Source organism: Homo sapiens, chromosome 15, assembly GCF_000001405.40.
Source record: "Homo sapiens chromosome 15, GRCh38.p14 Primary Assembly".
NCBI classification, from domain to species: Eukaryota; Metazoa; Chordata; class Mammalia; order Primates; family Hominidae; genus Homo; species Homo sapiens.
Genome location: NC_000015.10, coordinates 37,933,677 through 37,955,673, shown reverse-complemented (window position 1 = coordinate 37,955,673; position 21,997 = coordinate 37,933,677). Strand labels below are relative to the sequence as shown.

Here is a 21,997-nt window from a genome sequence, read left to right as displayed (position 1 = left end):
ATATTGACAGTGGGATGTTAAAGTCTTCCACTATTATTGTGTGGGAGTTTAAGTCTCTTTGTAGGTCTCTGAGAACTTGCTTTATGAATCTGGGTGCTCCTGTATTGGGTGCATATATATTTAGGATATTTAGCTTTTCATGTTGCATTGATCCCTTTACCATTATGTGATGCCCTTCTTTGTCTCTTTTGATATTTGTAACAGTTTAAAGTTTGTTTTATCAGAGACTAGGATTGCAACCCCTGTGGTTCATCTTTAAATGTTTGGTAGAATTCAGGAGTGAAGTCATCAGGTCCTGAGCTTTTCGTTACTGGGAGACTATTTATTACAGCTTTGATCTCATTACTTGTTATTGGTCTTTTCAGGTTTGGATTTCTTCATGGTTCAATCTTGTTAAGTTTTTTTTTTTTTTTTTTTTACTCTTTAAATCTATTTTGTCTTATATAAGAATAGTTATTCTTGCCTGAAGTGTGTTTCTTTTAGGCAACAGATCCTTGGGTCCTGTTTGTAAATTCATTCAGCCAGTCTATGTCCTTTGATTGGAGAGTTTAGTCCACTTACATTCAATGTTATTGTTGATAAGTAAAAAATTACTTCTGCCATTTTGTTGTTTCCTTGTTGTTTTGTGGTCTTCTCTTCCTTCTTTCTTTTCTTCCTGTCTTCCTTCTAGTAAAGGTGATTCTGTCTGGTGATATAATTTAGTTTTTCTTTTGCATTTTTTTGTGTATTCATTGTATGTTTTTTGAGATTACCATGAGGTTAGCAAATACTATCTTATAACCCATTATTTTAAGCTAATAACAACTTAACATTACTTGAATAAACAAACATGAAAAAAGAAATCAAAGGCTCTGTTTCTTAACTTTGTACCCCCACTTTTTAACTTCTTGTTGTTTCTATTTATATTTTATTATACTGTCTATGTTTTGAAAAGTTGTTATAGTTATTATTTTTGATTGGTTCATTGTTTAGTTTTCCTACTTAAGGTAGTATACATACCACAGTTACAATGTTATAATGTTGTGTTTTTCTGTGTACTTACTATTAGCAGTAGTTTTGTACCTTCAGATAATTTCTTATTGCTCATTAATGTCCTTTTCTTTCTGACTAATGTACTCCCTTTAGCATTTCTTGTAGACTAGGTGTGGTGTTGATGAAGTCCCTCAGATTTTGTTTGTCTAGAAAGCCTGTATTTCTCCTTCATGTTTGAAGGACATTTTCACCAGAATACTATTGCAGGATAAATGTTTATTTCATCTAGCATTTCAAATATATCATGGCAGTCTCCCCTGGTCTGTAAGATTTTCATTGAAATGTCTGCTGCCAGATATATTACAGCTCCATTGTACATTATTTTTTTCTTTTCTCTTGCTGCATTTGTGATCCTTTCTCTATCCTTGACCTTTGGGAATTTGATTATTAAATGCCTTGACATAGTCTTCTTCGGGTTAAATCTGTAGGTGTTCTATATTTGGATATTGATATTTTTCTCTAAGTTTGGGAAGTTCTTTGTTGTTATTCCTTTGAATAAACTTTCTATGCCTATCTGTTTATCTCCCCTTTAAGGCCAGTAACTCTTAGATTTTTTCTTTTGAGGTTACTTTCTAGATCCTGTAGGTGTGCTTTGTTTTTTATTTTATTTTTTTCCTTTTATGTCCTCTGACTGTGTATTTTCAATTAGCCTGTCTTTAAGCTCACTAATTCTTTCTTCTGCTTGATCAATTCTGCTATTAAAAGACTCTGGTGTATTCTTCATTATGCTAAATGCATTTTAACTCCAGAGTTTCTGCTTGATTCTTTTAAATTATTTTAATCTCTTTGTTAAATTTTTCTGATAGAATTCTGAGTTTCTTCTCTGTGTTATCTTGAATTTGAGTTTCTTCAAAACAGGTATTTTAAATTTCTTCCTGAAAGGTCACATATCTCTGTTTCTCCAGGATTGGTCCCTGGTGCCTTACTTTAGTTTGGTGAGGTCATGTTTTCCTGGATGTTTTTGATGCCTGTAGATGTTTGGTGCTGGGGCATTGAAGAGTTAGGCATTTATTGTAGTCTTCTCAATCTGGGCTCGTTTGTACCCATTCTACTTGGGAAGGCCTTCCAGATATTCAAAAGGACTTTGATGTTGTGATCTAAGCCATATCTGCTTTAGGGGCCACCCTAAGCCCAGTAATACTGTGGTTCTTGCCAACTTGTAGAGGTACCACCTTGATGGTTTTAAGCAAAATCTGGAAGAATTCTTTGGATTATCAGGCAAAGGTTCGTATTCTCTTTCCTTACTTCCCCCCAAATGAATGGCATCTCTCTCTTTTCTGAGTCACCTGGAGCTCTGGGTGGTGTAACACAAGTACCTCTGTGGCCAAAACCACTAGGACTGTGCTGAACCGTTAGACCTGAAGCCAGCACAGCACTGGGTCTTACCCGAGTCCTGCTGTAGTCACTACCTGGCTATGGTCTATGTTCACTCAAGGCCCTGGGGGCTCTACAATCAGCAGGTGGCAAAGCAACCAGGCTTGTGTCCTTCCCTTCAGGGTGGTGAGTTACCCCTGGCCCTGTGCATGTCCAGAGGTGCTTTCAGGGGCCAGGGTCTAGAGTCAAGAGCTTTAGAAGTCCATCTGATATTGTACTGTACTGCAGATAAGGTAGCATTCAAACCAAAAGACTCAGTTCTTCCCATTCTTCCCTCCCCTTTCCAAAAGCAGAGATGCCTCCCACCATGGCCACTGCCACCATAGGCCTATGGGGAGTACTGCCGGACTACCACTAATGTTTCCTTAAAGAAGGCCCCAAGGCTCTTCAGTTAGCTTGTAGTGAATGCTGCCTGGCCTGGGACTTGCCCTTCAGGGCAGTGGGATCCCCTCTTGCCTAGGGCAGTTCCAGAAATGTATTCCAAGAGCCAAGTCCTGAAATTGGGAACCCAAGGGCTCACTCTGTGCTCTACCTCACTGTGACCAAGCTGGAAGACAAAGTCCACTTTGCTTTTTCCTCTGTTTTTCTCAAGTAGAAGGAATCTTGACCCATAGCCACAATAGCTGGGACTATGCTGAGTCTCACCTGAAGCCAGAAATTCTCAGGGTCTCACCTAAAGCCCTCCACATAGTACTTAAGTATCGCTGCTGGTTATTTAGGGCCCAGAGGCTTTTCAGTTAGCAGGTGATGTGTCCTTCCAGGACTGAGTCCTCTTCAAAGTAGCAGGCTCCCTTCTGGCCCAGGGTGTGTCTAGAAATGTCATCTGGGAGCTAGGGCCTGGAAAGGGGGCCTCATGACTCTGACTGGTGCCCTATCTTCCTGTGGCTGAGCTGCTATTCAAGATGCAAGACAAAGTCTTCCCAACTTGAGTCCTCCTTGAGCAGTCGGAAACGGTCTCTTTTGGAGCCATGAGCTGTGCTGCCTGGGATTAGGGGAGGGGTGATTCCAGCACTCCCTTAGCCACTCTGTGACCACCCCCACTCCCTGCCAAGTCCACTGTGTCTGGGCCTAGTGCAGCACTAGGACTCACCTAGGAATTTCAAGTTTATATAAGCCTCCAGAGTACTTTAGCTTGGCAGCGGCAAGGCTTGCAGAAACTTAAATTCCGACAGCTGGGATCAGCAATTCTCCTCTAGCTAGGGCTGGTTTAAATTAGCCCTCTGTGGGCAGGTGTCAGGTGAGTTTGGTCTGGTTTTGTTTTCTGTTATAATGGGGAAGCACTGAGTTCAATGTCTCACAAATGCTGCAGTCTTTCTCTCCTCACCACACAGAAATGCTCTCCACACCACACCCTTGCTGCTGGAGGATGGGAAAGGGGGGGTGTTGGTGATTCCAGACTGTTTTTCCTATCTCTTCCGTGTCTCAGCAATATGAAGTTAAAACTACAGACTCTGAGTGCTCTCCTGATTTTTGATTCTTAAAAAGGTGCTTTCTTTGTTTAGATAGTTGTTAAATTGGTGTCCTTGAAGGGGGATAATTGGTGGAGTCTTCTGATTTCTTGCCTGGCTTATTTATTCACAGACTTTTTATTTTATATTTAAATATGTAAGTATAAATACTTATGTATTTGCTATAAATTATCTTAAGCTAAGGTCACTTATAACCTATGAGTTCTAATATAAGCAGTAAGTAATCTTCTGTATTTCAGGAATCCAGTGTGTCAGATTTTTGAGATTCACTAGAATAATTTATCAATTAACTTTTCTTAGCATCTATATAATTCCCCAAATGGTCAAATTTGTTTACTATCAAGTACTATTCAGCCGATCCACAGAGCCACATAAATCTATTACAGAGCTTTTTACTGGTCAAGGTTAATCCTGGAAAGATGACGTGGTGACAGAAGGTAGTCAAGCAGGCAAACGGTGAGGAAAAAACTGAAGCAAATCTCTTTCCTCCACAAGTTTCATGCCTCCCTTCTACAGGCTCGGATCCCACTTCCCTTCTATTGCTCAAGGATATTTCTTAGGGAATCAGTGGGGTAACATGTCCTCTGTCTCAAGTGTGAGAGATGGAAAGAAGAAGCATCTGAGCTTCCACAAGGTGCTCCTGCCCAGTACCTTGGGCAGTACATTGACGAGGAGATCTGGATTTATGAATCTTACATGAAAAAACATGTAGCTCAGCAGTCTGATGAAAAATAGGGTGATGAAAAAGAGACAGCAAAAAATCCTAAAAAGAGAATGCCATGAAACTGTTAACCAGAAGCTTAGAAAACTTGGAACAAAAAATAAATCATACCTGAATGCATATCTGGCTCCTAATTGATATTCAAATGGATTATCACCCCCTTTCCTGACAACCTTTTATAATGGCAGCTCCCCCTCCCATATTCTGTCCTATTGGTTATTCTCTGTCCATTACCGTGTTTTATTTTCTGGGTAGCATTTGTCACTAAAATAATTTTGTTCTCTGATTTTTTGTTTTGTTTATTTTTGGTTTTGTTTTGGCAAGTTGTTTTTCAAAACAGTTTCATTGGCTTATAACCCTCTAGCAAGGTATAAGTTTCTGTGGACCCATATCCTCTCCAACACTTGATATTATCAGATTTAAACACTTTTGCTAATCAAATGGATGTAAAATAATCTCTCATTATGGCTTCAATATGCATTTCCCTGATGAACAATGATGCGAACATCTGTTATAGGTTTATTGGTTTTATGTGTTTCTTCTTGCCCATTTATCTACAAGGTAGTTTTAGCTTTTCTTATTGATTTGTAAGAGTTTGTTTCATGTTCTTGATATCAATCCTTTTCCATTATGTGTATTGTTATGTATCCTCCCAACTTCATAACTTTCACTTGCTCTAAGATGTTAAAGAAAAAAATTCTCGATTTTAATAGGGTCTAGTTTGTCCATCTTTTCTTTAATTAGGATCGATGCTTTCTGTGTCCTTTTTAAAAAAATTCCCTATCCCAAGACCTGAAATATACTTATATTTTCTATTAAAAGTCTATGTTAGTTTAAAAATATGTCTACAGATTCTTTGTTACTCCTCCTTTCAAGAGTATTCCCCTCCATTGGAGTTTGGGCTGGATTTAATAACTTACTTCTAAAGAATGGAATATGGTGAAAGTCACAGTATGTAGTGCAGCTTCCTAGATTACACCATAAAGGTATTGCAGTTTCCTGCACACCCTTTGGAGGAAGACAGCAGTCATGTTGTGAGGACACTCAAGCGGCCTTATGGAAGGGTCTATGCAGTGAGGAACTGAGACTTTGTCAACTACCAGAAAAAGCTTGCCAGATGTGTGAGTTAGTTACCTTGGAAATATAACTTCTAGCTCCAGCCAAACCTTTTAATGACTGCAATTTTGGTCAACATCCTAACTGCAACTTCCTGACAGATACTAGCTAGAACCACTTGGCTAGTACCACTTGGCCCACAGAAACTGTGCTAATAAATGTTTGTTCTTTGAAGTCACTAAGTTTTGGGGGTAATTTATTATGTAGCATAGAAAATAATACAGAGTTTTGAAGATTTTTATTTTTTTTTTTTAGCATTTACATCTTTAACACATCTGGGCTTGCCTTTTGTATATACTGTATTTAGTGATCCAATCTCATACAGATAACCATTTTTTTCCCTGCTGTTCTTATTGAACAGTTCGTTCTGCCTTTTCCTTTGACATGCAATCACTGTCACATACCAAAGTTTGCTATGTGCACAATTTCTGAACTCTTTCTTCCATTCCACTAGGCAGTTTTCCTATTCCAGTCCCAATACCACACTATAATAATTACTATAGCGTCATAGTAAGTCCTGATATCTGGAAGGGCATGTTCCCCACTCCGTGCTCTTTAAAACTGTCCAGGTTATTCTTGACCCTTTATTCTTCCATATAGAGTATATTTTAGAATTATTTTATTCAATTCCATGAAAAACCATTTGGAGAGTTTGATTGAAATTGAGTTGAATTTATTAATCATTTGGAGGCAATTCTTACTTTTTTGATATGAGTTTCTATCCATGATTATGTTATTTTCTTTCATTCATGTTATCTGTAACATTTTGTAATAATTTTTTATAAACCTTCTTATGGTGGTCTTGATTTTTTTTTCTTTCAACTGATGAGTTATTTAGGCCTTATGGCTTTAATATGAATTGCATGAGGAAACCTTCCCCATTTCTTTCCTGTATTATTCTTACCCAGCTGTTTTGGGATGCCTCTGCCCCAGGACAAATTCACTATTCACCCTTAAAGGTCAAAAACAGCCCCTTTCCCTCTACTTTTCTCAAGTTTGCTGCTATGGTTGATCTTGGTGACAGGAGCCAGCACTCATTTCAGTACAACACCTTGGTCAAAATTAGAATCAGAAGCCCTTGACACATCTTCCCACCACTCTCCATGAAATTTCAGCCAATACGCATGAGAAGGTTCTGGGATTGCATTCCCAGGGAAAATCCTAGGAGTAGCCTAGCTTTCTTGTCTCTTGAGTTAGTGCCCAGTGTACCAGTGCCCCACAAGATGTTGAAGCAGAATGAGAGGAAAGACATTTATAGTTTGACATGATTAGCTAGACTTTCAGGATCTCTTTTCTAAGATTTCCTTCAGGATACCAAGTCTCTTTAGGCAGACAGTCCTTATTCTAGAAATCCACACAGTCAATTCCATTGTGGGCCCTTGTGTTGGAGTATAAGAGAACAAACTAGGAGTTCTAGAGAAAATTCTGCTAGTTGTTTTAGGAATATTGTATTCAGGAATATTGAAAGATGTAATATTTCATTTATCTGGTATGAAGGGGTATTCTACTTAAGCAAATTTTCTAGACAATTGGAGCTGACCTTTAACCACCAATAATTTTATGTTAAACATTTTGATGGAACTCTCTCTAAATCATATTTCATACCATTTTGAATATATGTTTCTTTATGCCTTCTTAAACAGATTATATTGAATATAATTTGACCTTTTCTTGAAAATGTAGGAGCTTCGTGAATACCAATTTTACTTTGCTATCACAGTGATTCCCTCAGGATGAATATCTACTCAGGTATTTGAATCTTAAATTTTTATTCAATTTAACAAGTATTTTCAAGCAACCATTATGTGTTGGATACTGTTAGATGCTCTTTCTCATAATGCTTGTCTCTCTTCTATCTCTTATTAGACAGTGGTATACTAGCATGTGACAGTCTTCATTCTAATCTACCAATGGTACTAGGAAACCAGATACATCAAGCTAATCCAAATTGTTAAAGGGAAAAGGCAGTAAATAAGAGATCTGCCACATCTCTTTTACATAATCAAATTTCTATTTCTTAATACCACAAGGCTGTTGATTTTTAATAATGGAAAGTTGAGATTATTAATTACCTTTAAACAAGTAAGTCATAACATTAGAATTGAGAAATACAGTCAAAGACATTAGTTTGCTGACTTGTGTGTGTGTGTGTATGTGTGCACACGCATATACAAGGCTCTCCTTGTCTAGACTTTTCCCTCTGCCCGAATAGCTAAATAGGGCTCCCAATTTTATAGGAAGTTTACCTGAAGATATTTTACTTACTTTTTACTGAATAATCTTGCTGTCTTTTGGGTAGGAGTACCCTGGAAGAAGAAAGGATATTGATAAATAAGCAATTTCTGGAGGCTATTATCATCATCCAATAATATTTAGTGAGCCATTAGTTATATGTTATTTAGATAACTTTAACAAATTCTTTTTATATGCATAAGCACATATAATTTTCAGGCCAAAATTTTAAAATATGTTTATTATTATTGTTATTTGTCCTACCTTTTTACATATTTATATGACTAAACTAAGGCACAGAAAGACAAAGGATGTTGCCCAAGGTCACATAGCCAGTTAGGGGCAGGATGGGGCCTGGAACCTGGATACTCTGACTCCACATTCTTGGCTCTCTCAACTATACCATTCTATCTTCTGCTCAGCCAGTGACCCTTAGAGAAGCTTATAGGCTAAGAAAACTATATAAACATATCTTAAGAGATAAGTCTTAAAAGCTATAAAAAATCTAAAGATGAGTGATCAAGTTTGGCTTTATCCCTGGGATGCAAGTTTGGTTCAACATACACAAATCAATAAATATAATCCATCACATAAACAGAACTAAAAACAAAAACCCATGATTATCTCAATAGATGCATAAAAGGCCTCTGATAAAATTCAACATCCCTTAATTTTAAAAACTCTCAATAAACTAGGTATTGAAAAAACATAACTCAAAATAATAAGAGTCATATATGACAAATCCACAGCCAATATCATACTAAATAGGAAGAAGCTGGAAGCATTCCCCTTGAAAACTGGCACAAGACAAGGATGACTTCTCTCACCACTCCTATTCAACATAGCATTGGAAGTTCTGGCCAGGGCAATCAGTAAAGAGAAAGAAATAAAGGCTATTCAAATAGGAAAAGAGGAAGTCAAATTATCTTTGTTTGCAGGTGACATGATCCTATATCTAGAAAACCCCATCATCTCAGTCCAAAAGCATCTTGAGCAACTTCAGCAAAGTCTCAGGCTACAAATTCAATGTGCAGAAGTCACAGCATTCCTATACACCAACAACCGTCAAGCAGAGAGCCAAATCATGAATGAACTCCCATTCACAGTTGCTACAAAAAAATAAAATACCTAGGAATACAGCTTACAAGGGAAGTGAAAGACTCCTTCAAGGAGAACTACAAACCATCGCTGAAAGAAATCAGAGAGGACTCAAACAAATGGAAAAACATTCCATGTTCATGGATAGAAAGAATCAATATCATGAAAATGGCCATACTGTCCAAAGTTATTTCTAGATTCAATGCTATTCACATTAAACTACTATTGACATTTTTCACAGAATTAGAAAAAATGATTTTAAAATTCATGTGGAACCAAAAAGAGCCCTAATAGCCAAGACAACCCTAAGCAAAAAGAACAAAGCTAGAGTCATCACGCTACCTGACTTCAAACTATATTACAAGGCTACAGTAACCAAAACAGCGTGGTACTAGTACAAAAACAGACACATAGACCAATGAAATAGAAAACTCAGAAATAACACTGCTCACCTACAACCATCTGATCTTCAATAAACCTGACAAAAACAAACAATGGGGAAAGGACTCCCTATTCAATAAATGATACTGGGAAAACTGGCTAGCCATATACAGAAAATTGAAACTGGACTGCTTCCTTACATAATATACAAAAATTAACTCAAGATGGATTATAGACTTAAATGTAAAACCCAAAATAGTAAAAACCCTAGAAGAAAATCTAGGCAATACCATGGACACAGGCATGGGCAAAGATTTCTTGATGAAAATGCCAAAAGCAATTGCAACAAAAGCAAAATTAGACAAGTGGGATATACTTAAACTAAAGAGCTTCTGCACGGGAAAATAAACTATCATCAGAGTGAGCAGACAACCTACAGAATAGGAGACAATTTTTGAAAACTATGCATCTGACAAATGTCTAATACCCAGAGTCTACAAGGAACTTAAACAAATTTACAAGAAAAAAACAACCTCACTAAAAAGTGGGCAAAGAAGATGAACAGACACTTCTCAAAAGAAGACATACATACAGCCAACAAACACACAAAAAAAGTTCAACATTACTGATCATTAGAGAAATGCAAATCAAAACCACAATGAAAAACCATCTGACACCAGTAGAATTGCTATTATTAAAAAATCAAACAACAACAGATGCTGGTGAGGTTGCAGAGAAAAAGGCATGCTTTTACACTGTTGCTGGGAGTATAAATTCGTTCAACCATTGTGGAAGACAGTGTGGCAATTCCTCAGAGACCTAGAGGCAGAAATACCATTTGACCCAGCAATGTCATTACTGGGTATATACCCAAAGGAATATAAATCATTCTATCATAGAGACACATGCACACAAATATCATTGCAGCACTGTTCACAATAGCAAATACATGGAATCAACCTAAGTGCCCATCAATGATAGACTGGATAAAGAATATGTGATATATATACATCATGGAATACTATGCGGCCATAAAAAGGAATGATATCATGTCCTTTGCAGGGACATGGGTGGTATTGGAAGCCATTTTACTCAGCCAACTAACCCAAGAACAGAAACCCAAACACTGCATGTTCTCACTTATAAGTGGGAGCTGAATGATGAGAACACATGGACACATGCAGGGGAACAACACACACTGGAGCTTGTCAGTGGGGTTGAGGTAGTGGGAGGGAGAGCATTAGGAAGAATAGCTAGTAGATGCTGGGCTTAATACCTAGGTGATGGGATGATCTGTGCAGCAAACCACCATGGCACACGTTTACCTATGTAACAAACCTGCACATCCTGCACATGTACCCCTGAACTTAAAAGTTGAAGAAAAAAAAATCTAAAGATGAGGCTATGTCCTGTATTTCTGTGGCATTCTGGTTTCAAAATATTTTCTCAGTTATTTCATTGTCCTTTAACCTTCCTTGTGAGATAAAAAGAGGAATTATGATCACATTTTAGAGCCAGCCAGGCATGGTGGTGGGTGCCTGTAGTCCTAGCTACTTGGGAGGTTGAGGTGGGAGGAACCCTTGAGCCCAGGAGTTAAAGACCAGCCTGAACAACATAGTGAGACTTCATCTTTCTACTAAAAAAAATTAGAGCTGTGGAAAAGAGGCTTACAGAATTTGAATTAGAAAGAAACTTTTAGGATTACAAATTTTGATCTATAGTTTGAGTAAGATTACATGGCCTGCCAAACAGTCAGTTCTCAGGCATCCTGTCTCCAAAGTTGCTCAGACATCACTAGGTCATTGAACCATCATGGGACCCTGATGAGCTTGATGTAGACAACTTTAATTTTTTCCTCTGACACATAGTTAGAAGGAATATTTTGATGAGCTGTGGGGAGAGATGGTAGGACACATTGGAGATGTCAAAAACTTGGTTCTACAGAAGTGGGTCGAGTTAATTTCAGGGATTTTGTTTACTAAGCAGAATATGCAAGCTTCGGGGCCAGAATGACTTGTTCAGTACTCTTAAGAACCATGGACATGGCCTAACATATATCCAAACATTTGGATGACCCAAACACAATGGCCAATATTTGATATTTGCTTTTAAGGAAGTGTTTAGTTCTCTTTTCTAAGTATTTATCTTGACTATCTGTAATTTCTGATGTTTGTCAACCTGGACTCTAAAGCCAATATAAATTACAAAATTAAAGCCCAACCAAAGTTTAACTTTAACCTTTTATCCTTGCTGCCACAAGACATCAAGCAGGCCAAGAGGATTGGTGCTCTGTATGAAATTGTTCTTTTCCTTCAGACCTTTACATGTGTGCTGGTGGCTTTGCTATATTAAATATGAACAGACACTGAAACTCTGTCACAAAGAAGCAATAGCGTTCTATGTTTTAACTCACAGGCCAATTCTGACTAGATGATGACAGATGGTGGGTGCTCTGTGTTGTGAGAGATTAGGAACCATGTCAAGATCATCAGGAAAGAGTACTGTGATTGTAGGAGATGGAAGAGGTGGTGTATGTGCCCTATATTGGCCTCTTTCTATAGAGCATACCCTCAATTAAGGTTGCTTCTTGCCTCCATTCTGAGTTCTCTTAGGTCTTCGGCTAGTTTTTTGAGAGCCTGTTATTTGTATGGCTGAATGAGAAGAAAGTAGATTGTTCCTTAGAGTCTAGTTTGTTTGTTTAGGGTTGGAATGCTCTGTAATTATAGCTGGTACTGTTCTTGGAAAATGCGCATGGCAAGATTGGGTATATATTTGGTGCCTTATAGTTTGCTGGAGATGGCTTTGAAAGGCAATGACACTGTGAGGAGCTGAAGAGAGAATGGAGTGTTTACCTCATTATTTTGGCTGGTATGCTCTTTTTCCACAGGGTTCATGCTCACGAGTTTTGATCTATGAAGATAACAGCCAGGACAGAAATTGAACAAAGTGCACTGAAATATTCATACTACACTATGGTTATTTTAAAAAAGCTTTATATTCTAAATCTGTACTGTCCAATATTGTAACTACTGTCTACCTATAGCTATTTAAATTAATTAAAGTTAAATTAATTTCCTCAGTTGAGTACATCTTTTATGTACTCAATTGCCATATGTAGTTAGTTTTACCTACTAACTAGCACAGAAAATTCTACTGGGCAACCTTTTCTAGAATCTTGGCTTAACAGTTAAGCCATAAACCAATGTTCAGCAGGGATCTTGAGTGACTTGAAGGTGTCCTTTAGGGGCAAGGACCTACAAGTCCTAGGACCCTGGACTATATATATATAGAGAGAGGCTATATGCAGTTTTGATCTCTTGTTCTTGATCTAAGGATTTAAAAATATTTCATAAATAGAAATACTTCTTGACTGCATTAAGATTTAACTTACAGAGGGGGTCAAGAAATGGAGATGAGGTTTTTGGTTTGGATTTCTCACCATTTAGACTCTTGACAAACTCATTGTACTTTGAGGAGTGCTTTCCCATCTCTAATTTTAAATGTTCGTAGTTCAATACAGTGTACAGTTCTGATTTATATAATGTGGTAGCTGTAGTATGAGTCTAGAGATTAGTTTCATGCCTATCCCTTATGGTTGGGTGTCCATATATTTGGGGGAAGTGAGGATGGTATTAATGAAAAGGCCTTTCTGTGATATATAAGGAATACCCTACTTATCAAGGTGACTGACCACCAACTCTTTCTAAAGTACATGTTTTTACTCTTAATATCAACCCGAATAATAATGTGATAATGTGATAACATTACGAAGGGAGATGTGTTTCTGTGGTCTTTTTAGAAGGATGGGAGAATGACTGGAAGTTTTAAGTTGGTGTGATCTACTGGGGTCAACCAGATCACTAACAGAGGGCAAAGATATGTGGCGTCGGGACTCATTCAATTCCAAATAGAAATTGGTCTGAGAACTGTTTGCTCTGACTCAGGCTGAGATGGAGTTTCTACCAAAACCAGGATGTTCCTTTGCCAAAGCTCACACTTCTCTCTCAAGGAACAGAGCCTCTAGTTCTTCTTCTATTTTCTTCAACGTTTCCTGGTACTTCTTCAAAGAGAAACAAAGAAAGCCACAGTTACTACTTAGAAGGTTTACAATTTTTCTAAGCATAATAAGCACTTGTTATTACATGATACCATGAATGCTTGGTATTCCCACTGCCACTTTCTCTGCTTTCATAAAACTCACCCCCCTACTACTCTTGATCTCTCACTATGCCTTACCACTGGACAGGTTTCTGGGCATCATTGACATTATAAATAGCAGAAGTGTGAATTATTAACTTAACAGCACAGAGAGTGGGAGAGCAGGGCAGGAATTCCCAGGGAGACAAAGACAAATAGAGTGATATTGATAGTGAGGTGGGGTGCTGATGACCTTAAAGTATCCTAGTAGTGCCACCTTGAACTGTTGAAATTGCTCTGGACAGTAGTCTTTGAAAATCCTTGTTCTATTTCATCCTGTACCTTAATAAACCCTTTGCTATCCCTTTACCAAGAAGCTCTACCTTTATGTAGAGGGCTTGATCTTCACAGAGCTGGGTCACAAATGCATACTCCTTCATTACCTAGGAAATCAAAATTTAGTTGTAAATATATTTCGGTAAATTGCTATAAGAACACAAGCATACTTGTTTTCTCTTGGGTCCCAGGTCCTAAATGTGGTTTTCTAATTGTTCTAAATATGTTTTCTTTTTTGCTGTACAGATAAATGTATTTCCTTTTTTTAGGGTAAAAAAGCTAAATGGGAGTTATTGGTCAAAGGTGGAATTTGGGGGCAGTTGGGAGAGGAATAGATAGATAACTAATATTTGCGAGATACAAACTGTAGAGTGTATTCTGTAAAAAAATGTTTGAAGAGAAAGCAACCTCAGGGATTGTGCTTATCTTCCTTTTCTTTACCCCTCCCTAGCCCCATCATGGTCTTGGATCTGGAACCTTAATGTAAATCAATCACTTGAGAAATAGATTGCCTGACCAAAGATCACATTTCCCTTTTTGGGGAGAAGTCACATTGAAGTTCCTGCTGTTACCTTGAGCAGCTCCTTCTCTTGGCATGCATAGGAAGCTTCCAGCTGTTGTAACTTAACCTAAAGAAAGCAAAAGAGACTGCTAACTTGGCAAGGTAAAAGCTGTGCAGGAATGGAATGCTGTCACCAAGGTGGCCTCACGAGCTGTGAGGAGCCTCAGGGCCATGACTTCACACGTCTCCTGATAGAGGAATTAAGCCACCCAGCACCGTTTGCAGCTGCTTGGTAAACTTGCTCTTTTATATTCCTTACCTTTTAGTCTTCATCTGGTGCTAGCTTCACCCCTAAACTTCAATTCTGAGCTTCCTACTCTTACTTAGCCATTTCTCTTAAAAATAATACCAGTTTTGAAAAACTTCACTCTTCCTTTTCCTTTTAATATAGTCAGTCAGACTCTAAGGTGTTTGTTCACTCCTTTCTCCCTCCCTGTATGCCTTGCTCACCCTTTTATTTCCTTCAATACTTGGCAAAAGACCATTCTATATCAGCTGCTATGCTGGAGTGAAGCATGTGTGTATCAGGTGGCAGGGGGTAGTACTTAGGATACAGTAGTAGACAGGATGGACCAGCTTTCCACCCTTGCAGAGCTGGCATTCTGGTAGGGAGACACAACAAATACATCTACATGATAATGGTATGTGCTATGAAGGAAAAAAAATTAATGTTTAAAGATAGTGATGGTAGTGGTGGTGTGAGAGGAGGTGGTAGGTGGTTGGCAAAGGCCTCCCTGATGTGATGATACTTGAGCTAAAGTCTAAATGATAAATGCTAGCTAAATGGAGATTTGGAAGAAATATGTTCTCTGTGAAGGGTATGGCAAGGGCCAAGACCATGAGGTTATCACAGATTTGGCTTATATGAGGGAGTTGTGTGGCCAGAGCATAAGGGAAATTGGTAGGTAGGGCCGAGACAGGGTGGGATAAGGTAGACAGGGGCTAGATTGTGCAGGGCCTTGTGGCTTCTAAAAGGATTTCGGTTCTTCTAATTGCAGTGAGAAGGCAGGAGAGGCTTGAAGTCTAAAGACACAATCTGATTTGTGTTTTTAGAGAATAGCCTTTTCTGTGTCTGGAAAAAAGAATTGTTTGGGAGTGAGAGTAGAAGCAGGGAGACTGGTTGAGTGGTGACTCCTGTTGTCCAGGTAAGGGGTTATGGTGGCTTGCAAAAGGATAGTAGTAACAGAAGTGGTAGAGAGGAATGGATGCATTTGGGAGATAATTTTGTAGAAGAGCAGACATGACCATTCTTCCTTCCCTTTTCAGCTCTGCTGTTCCCACTTTGATCTAGGTGCCATTATTTCACATCCAGATTCTTCTGAGAGTTGGTTCACTCTTCAGTCAGTTACATCCAGGACCAGTTAGCCAAATGTGCTAAGGGATATATAGTTTCAAGCCAATGGTGTGAGTCACAAAGGGTTGAATTAGGCACCCCATTAAGCTGCTGCACTGATTACTAGCATGCCAGAGGAACAGAAGCAAAAGAGATTCTGTACATTCACAGAATTAGAGATATCACCTGATAATTCATTAAAATAGGTGGGCAAAGAGTGGTTCAAAGGATTAAACAATATTCTTGAACTCTTTAGGGCTAGCCAGCAAAATAATGGCCATTATTCTGACTAAGACTAGACTTTGTTCTCTGTCATCTGACAATGTGAGTGCAGCCAGACTGAAAGTGTCACCACTCAATTCTGGCTGGTCTTATTTTCTGGGAAAAAGAGGTGATCTTGGAAGAAAATCAGTGTCCTGACCACTGCAATCAGATGGCAGGTTCAGTCAGGGGTCTTTATAGCTCTTCCTAATTTTGGCTCCAATTTCTTCCTGATTTCTCTCTTTCCAGATAACTTACCTGAATTAGCACAGCCAAGCAAGCTTATTTGGTGGCTTTAGACTTCCTATTTTTGTGGTCATCAAAACTAAATTGGCCAGCAGAAGATAGGGGAGTAATTCTCCATACTTTCATTTTCTATTTCTATTTTCTATGTATCCAAATTTTCAGAGGCTTCATACACACAACCAAGTGCAGGCTTTGGAGGGTAGAGAGAAGTTAGATAAGGCAAGGACAAAGATGTAATTCTAGAGAAGGTGTCAAAAAAATCAAATGACGAGTTAATGGGTGCAGCACACCAACATGGCACATGTATACCTATGTAACAAACCTGCACGTTGTGCACATGTACCCTAGAACTTAAAGTATAATAATAAAAAAATTTATCTGCTCTCTGAAGAAAAATAAAGTCTCTGCAACACAGTATGTCAGTGTTGGCAAAATGGCACTTGTACCCCATGAGTATACACAAGAAATTTCTCTCTCTCTCTCATCAGATAGGTTGTGGTTGGTCTCAGGTTCTTAGCTCTGGAACACAATTAGAGACATGCCAAGCAGAGTATGATGTGCTTAGCAGGTAGTGGTCATACTAAATACTTGAGTGACTAATTGAACCCTTTTCTAGATTGGAATCCAGGACAGGGTACATAAATTGCCGAGCACTCAGTAGACTTACAAATCCTAGTTCTGCCTCTATGAATTCATACATGCACCTCAGCAAGAATTTTAAATAATAATGTAAAACTCACACAACTTTTTGAAGTTGCAGCCATCCAGAAAAGGAGACAATATTTTTTATACACAATTTCATTTAATCTTGAAACTGAGGCTGAGAGGCAGTAATTAAATTACCCAACTTCACACACCAAATTATTTTCTGTGGCTTTAAACTGGGGACTTTAACTGCCCCAAATTTTACATATGCATTTGTGCCCTGCTCTTCCTAACAGAAGAGAGAACAATAAATAAGACTAAAAAGTGACATTCCTTACCTAAGGGCAGAGAAGAATTCAGCACTCCAGTGGTTCAAGCTTAAGCTTGACATGGAGGAAAACTACCAAGAATTTGTCACAACGTTGACATTGATTTCCAACTTAACAGCTTGTTTCCTGGTTACATAGCCCAACCACATTTAGGATTGTTTTTTTCATTTACCTTTGTCTCTTCTAGGGCTCCATCTGGACTGCTTTGTTCACAATTGGTTATCTTTTGTGATTTCCTTGTAAGCTATAGTTTCAAATAAAAAATATACTAAATTAAAAGGTGTAGAAGGCAAAGACTTTCTCTGGTGTGTGGAGATTAGTAACTATGGCCTTTATAAACCTTTCCAGGATATGGTCCTTTGGTAGATATTTGGTGACCTGTGGAAACATCTTTGTTCTACCTCTGTCTTCTTCTCACTAGTCTTGGCCACTGATGCTAGAGTCCACTCAAAGCAGGAGTACTTTCCTGAACCCCTAATTCGCACTGGGTTACTCAAGGATACAGCCCCCTACAGTAGAAGGCTACTTTATACTCATGGGTCAGAGAGTAGGGTAGTCATTGGAAGCCCACTGTATTCTGAGGAGGTATTGAGGCATTGGAAATGGCTAGACAAGAAAAAGGAAATCCTTGGGGATTAAGTTAATTATTTTTGTTGTTGTTTAAAAGGTCTCTGTTGAAAGTAAAATTAACCTCTCACTGCAAAGGTTCCAGTCAATGACTTCAACAGAGTATCTGTTGGAATCCATTTTCTGGTGATAGAATGAAGAACCCATGAGATTACTAAATATTCCATCCATTCCTTTTCCCTCTTGCCTACAGAGAAAATCCCTAACATTTAGGTCATGAACCTTGGCCTCAGGAGAGTGGATTAGAGAGTAATATGCACTCCACATACAGGCCTCTCTGACTTATGGGTTCCTCTATGATCACTTCCCCCAAACCTTGCCCCTTTGATGAATGGGGCTGTTGTGGGGGCACTGGAGAACACAAGTACCCTACCTCACCTTTTGTTGAAGTTCTGTTATACTGTGGACCAACGTCTTATTCTTCCTTTCCTGTGAGAGAGAAATAACAGTGTAAATCTGCCTCTGTACTCCATCTGTTCTTATTCAGTTGATTGCTGTCCATTTCACCCCAGCTATATTTTCCTGCAGTAACTTGACCTTATTTGCATAATGTCATGTGTATATTGAAATCAAACCACAGGTGAAATACAGGGATATAGATGCCCATCTGCAGGGCTTCCCAATGATTAAACATTGCCCAAGAAGCCAGACACATCCCCTTCCACGCATGGACAAATTTTATCATGACTTTTGAGATGGCTACTGTTCATGTATAAAAAGGAGAGACAAGCTTATCTGATAATTGATGAAGGATGGAATGAGGAATGCAACCTATTAAATGGCTCTTCCCAACTTCTTGCTTACAAGTCTGGCTGTTTCTTCCTCCAGCTCCTGCAAGGCTCTTTCCCTTTCCATCGTGGTGCGGTTCTCCTTCTCCCACTCTTCATCTTCCACCAGGCCCCGCGTCTGAATGATCTCACTTTCCAGCCTGGACAACACAAGCACATGCCATGAGGACCCATGCTTGGCAGTTTCAGAACTGATAAAACACAGATTTCAGATATAAGGGAACTTCAGGGACAGTGTACATGAATCTCAAGCTGAAAACTCTTCCTTACTGAATCCATAAAGCAGGAAGACCTGCCTGATTCCTAAGCCAAACACCCCAGTGTTCTCTCAACTCCATCTTTTAGGAATCTATTTGAAACTTGCTATGCTTCAGTGTTCAAGAGAAATGTCAAAGAATGAAAAATTAACTTTTTGCCACACAAGGTAGAAGTCTCTAGAACAAGCAGGAAAATTCAGTTTTGGTTTTGGTCCTCCACCCCTTCTTTGGATTGGGAACTTCCCTCATGAAACCTTAATACTCACCTCTGAATCTTATCTTCCCTCTCTTGGATTTTGAGAAGAAGTTTCTGATTTGCTTCATCTATTCTCTGCGTATCCCTTTCAAGGTCCATGTTCAAACTGATAATGTTTCTTTTTGACTGAGCCAATCTTGAGATTTCCATTTTCTCCGACCTATAGACTCAGCCCCCAAAATGAACAAGGGCCAGTTATCTCAAGATCAATAATCATCAGGCCAAAAAGGGTATTTAGAACACATCTAGTTTATTAACCTTACTCTCTCTGGGGGCATACCATTTTCATTCTTGAAAAATTACATTTCTTGATCATGCTCTACAACTGTTTCGATAATTCGCAGCTCAGTCAGCAAGGGTCTTTCCCAGGCTTTCTCCTCCAAAGTGCTCAATCTAACAGTGCACCTTCACTCTGGTTTCTTGAGAAGCTTTGCTTCCTTAAATAACCCCTTGCGCTGGGGAGAAATGTTTCTCTTGGCAATCTTTTCTTAGATAAACTATTCACAAAACCTGCTCATACAATACACATTTATTGAACACTTTTATCTAAGCACCTGGCATATCACTTCTGGTTGGGCCTGGCTTTCTGCAGAGCCACAAGGGGTTTCCACCAGCATGATAGGGCTTCAATCTTTCCCTTCCTTCTCCCACCTCAACACCTCTCCCTCACTTGCCTGCTACAAAGTTTGAAATTTTTACCATGAGAGTAATTCCATTGAGCACACCCACATAGGCTCTAGGCATAGCTTTCAAAAATGCAAATATCTTTTTTGAAGTAAATTTAAATGAAATAATGGTAACTCTAGAGTATTTTGGGAAGGGTACATGGGAGGCTCTTGATATATTTTTCTTTTTCTACTAATGTAAATTAATTCATTGGTTTGTGTTTCAGTTGATTAACCACTATTAGCACAGTGAGGCACAGAGGCTTTTGTTTTAGATAGGAATGAAGGATAATATTGGAAAGTTAAGTCCTATCTTGGAAGGGCTTGCTTGGATGGGGGATTTACAGTAATCACTTCAGGAAGGTATGGCATGCTTGGGGTAGGGTGCGGAGGTGGTTGCATAACAGGAGTAGAAGGGGAGAAGGAGGCTGGAAGATGAGGCAAGGGGTCAATAGCGAACCTGCTTTACACCTTGGTCTCTGGATATGGCTTTGCATAATCATGACTACTTAATCCAGCTGATCTTTCTTGTGTCCTTCCATTGTAGATTCCCTAAAATGCCAACAGAGATGTATCTAATGAATTGGAGAAATGGGTTCATTTATGAATACAGTAACTAGGGAAGAGTCCCAAAAAGTAGAAATCAAATTAAGTTAACTCATTTTCTCCCTCTAATCCCCACATTTTAACCATGACAAAACTCAGCCTTTTGATTCTTCTGCCCGTGTTCTGATTATACCCTATTAAAGATACAGTCAGGATACAGAGATAATGCTGGAATATACGTCCTATTAATAGATATAGTCAGAGATGGTTTATCAACATAAAACCCTGTGGAAGTTTATACAAGACAATATAAAGAAATAGAGATAATCAATAAGTCTCTTTTTGCTCTAGGCCAGTTGCTTTCCATAAAGCCCCATGGGCATGGATGTAGGTTTACAATATCCCTGAAAAGTAATCTTTGCTCTCTATCTTTGCTTATGCCAGAATTTCCAGATATTAAGATCTTTAGTATTAAAGAGGGCTCAGAAAACCAAGTATATGTAAATCATTTGTCTCTCCCTTCCCCTTAGTTTCTTTTTTTCCCCTTTATTTCTTCTACAAACTCTACCTCCCCTTTTTGATGTGTCTTGTCTTCCTGATCCTTCCCTAGTCAATTAGCTTCTGAGGAGTCTAATCTTTCTCCACTGGAACTATCCAATAGAATCTCAGAACATTCTGAGAGGTCATGACATAGGATGGGCGGGGCAACATGTCATAGTGGGGTGGGTGGCAATGGTTTCTCATCATTTGTGTAGAGTCCAGAGCCTAGATAAGTGTGTGGATTTCATGGCCAAGTCTTCCCTGGATAGCAGTAGGTTCAATGGATTTGATTTCTGGGCTGTTTGAAGGGGCAACCTCTATCTTTTATTTCTCTGGCAGATAAAGCTCTCTTCCTGCCTCAGTGTGACTAAAATGGAAAGTCTAGGTCTTTTGGCCAGCAGTCTAATTTCATCATGTAGCCAACTAACTACTCATTCATTCAACAAACAGTGAAACACTGAATGAACACGATGTGTATCTTCTAGGCTCTGTTCTAAGCACTGGAGGGAAAGAATGAACAAAGCAGCCAAAAGCCCTTGACCTCATGAAGTTTATATTCTAAGATGTGTGTGTGTGTGTGTGTGTGTGTGTGTGTGTGCGCGCGCGCGCGTGTGTGTAGGGGGGACTGGTAACACAATCAATAAAATAAATAAAATTATTTTTACTTGATATGATAAAAGAGGAGACTGCTGAAATTTTACCCCAAAGAGTTAAAGAAACCAGTGACTAACAAATTCTTGAGCTTGCAGAATAGCAGATAAGAAAATAAACAACTTGCTGAAATGCTGAAACTCCCTCTATTTGAGAGATTTCAAAACAAAAAACCTAGCTGAAATTGGTTGGAACCAATAAGGCCAACTGGAGTCTGTGCAGAACAAGCTTACTGATGTCACAGCTTGAATTTCCACTGCATGTTTTATACTAATTTCCCCTGAATTTGCACATGGGACCCATAAGGAGGCATGAAGAGATAATCGTGCATGCCTGAGGACTTTCCAGACCTCCCCTTTTCTTCTACCAGTCATTTGCTAATTCCAGAATCCACT

General features: G+C 38.8%; 1 protein-coding gene across 10 annotated transcripts in view; it reads right to left on the bottom strand.

Annotated features, from left to right (window-relative positions):
* Nucleotides 1-21,034, bottom strand: part of TMCO5A (transmembrane and coiled-coil domains 5A) — a 106,226-nt gene extending 85,192 nt beyond the window's left edge. For 4 of the 10 annotated variants that reach the window (XM_047432176.1, XM_047432177.1, XM_011521262.3 and 1 more), the window contains exons 1-11: nt 20,980-21,034; nt 20,326-20,417; nt 19,211-19,360; nt 18,704-18,827; nt 18,278-18,328; nt 17,445-17,516; nt 14,469-14,525; nt 13,944-14,003; nt 13,419-13,483; nt 12,276-12,333; nt 7,978-8,018 (exon numbers count right to left, since the gene is read on the bottom strand). In XM_047432176.1, the coding sequence (XP_047288132.1) occupies nt 7,978-8,018; nt 12,276-12,333; nt 13,419-13,483; nt 13,944-14,003; nt 14,469-14,525; nt 17,445-17,516; nt 18,278-18,328; nt 18,704-18,827; nt 19,211-19,350 (668 nt within the window). In that variant the 5' untranslated portion in view covers nt 19,351-19,360; nt 20,326-20,417; nt 20,980-21,034. Of the gene's footprint in view, nt 1-4,251; nt 4,639-7,977; nt 8,019-12,275; nt 12,334-13,386; nt 13,484-13,943; nt 14,004-14,468; nt 14,526-17,444; nt 17,517-18,277; nt 18,329-18,703; nt 18,828-19,210; nt 19,361-20,325; nt 20,418-20,979 lie in introns of those variants that run through there. The other 6 variants (NR_163585.1, NR_163584.1, NM_152453.4 and 3 more) reach the window with 6 other exon arrangements.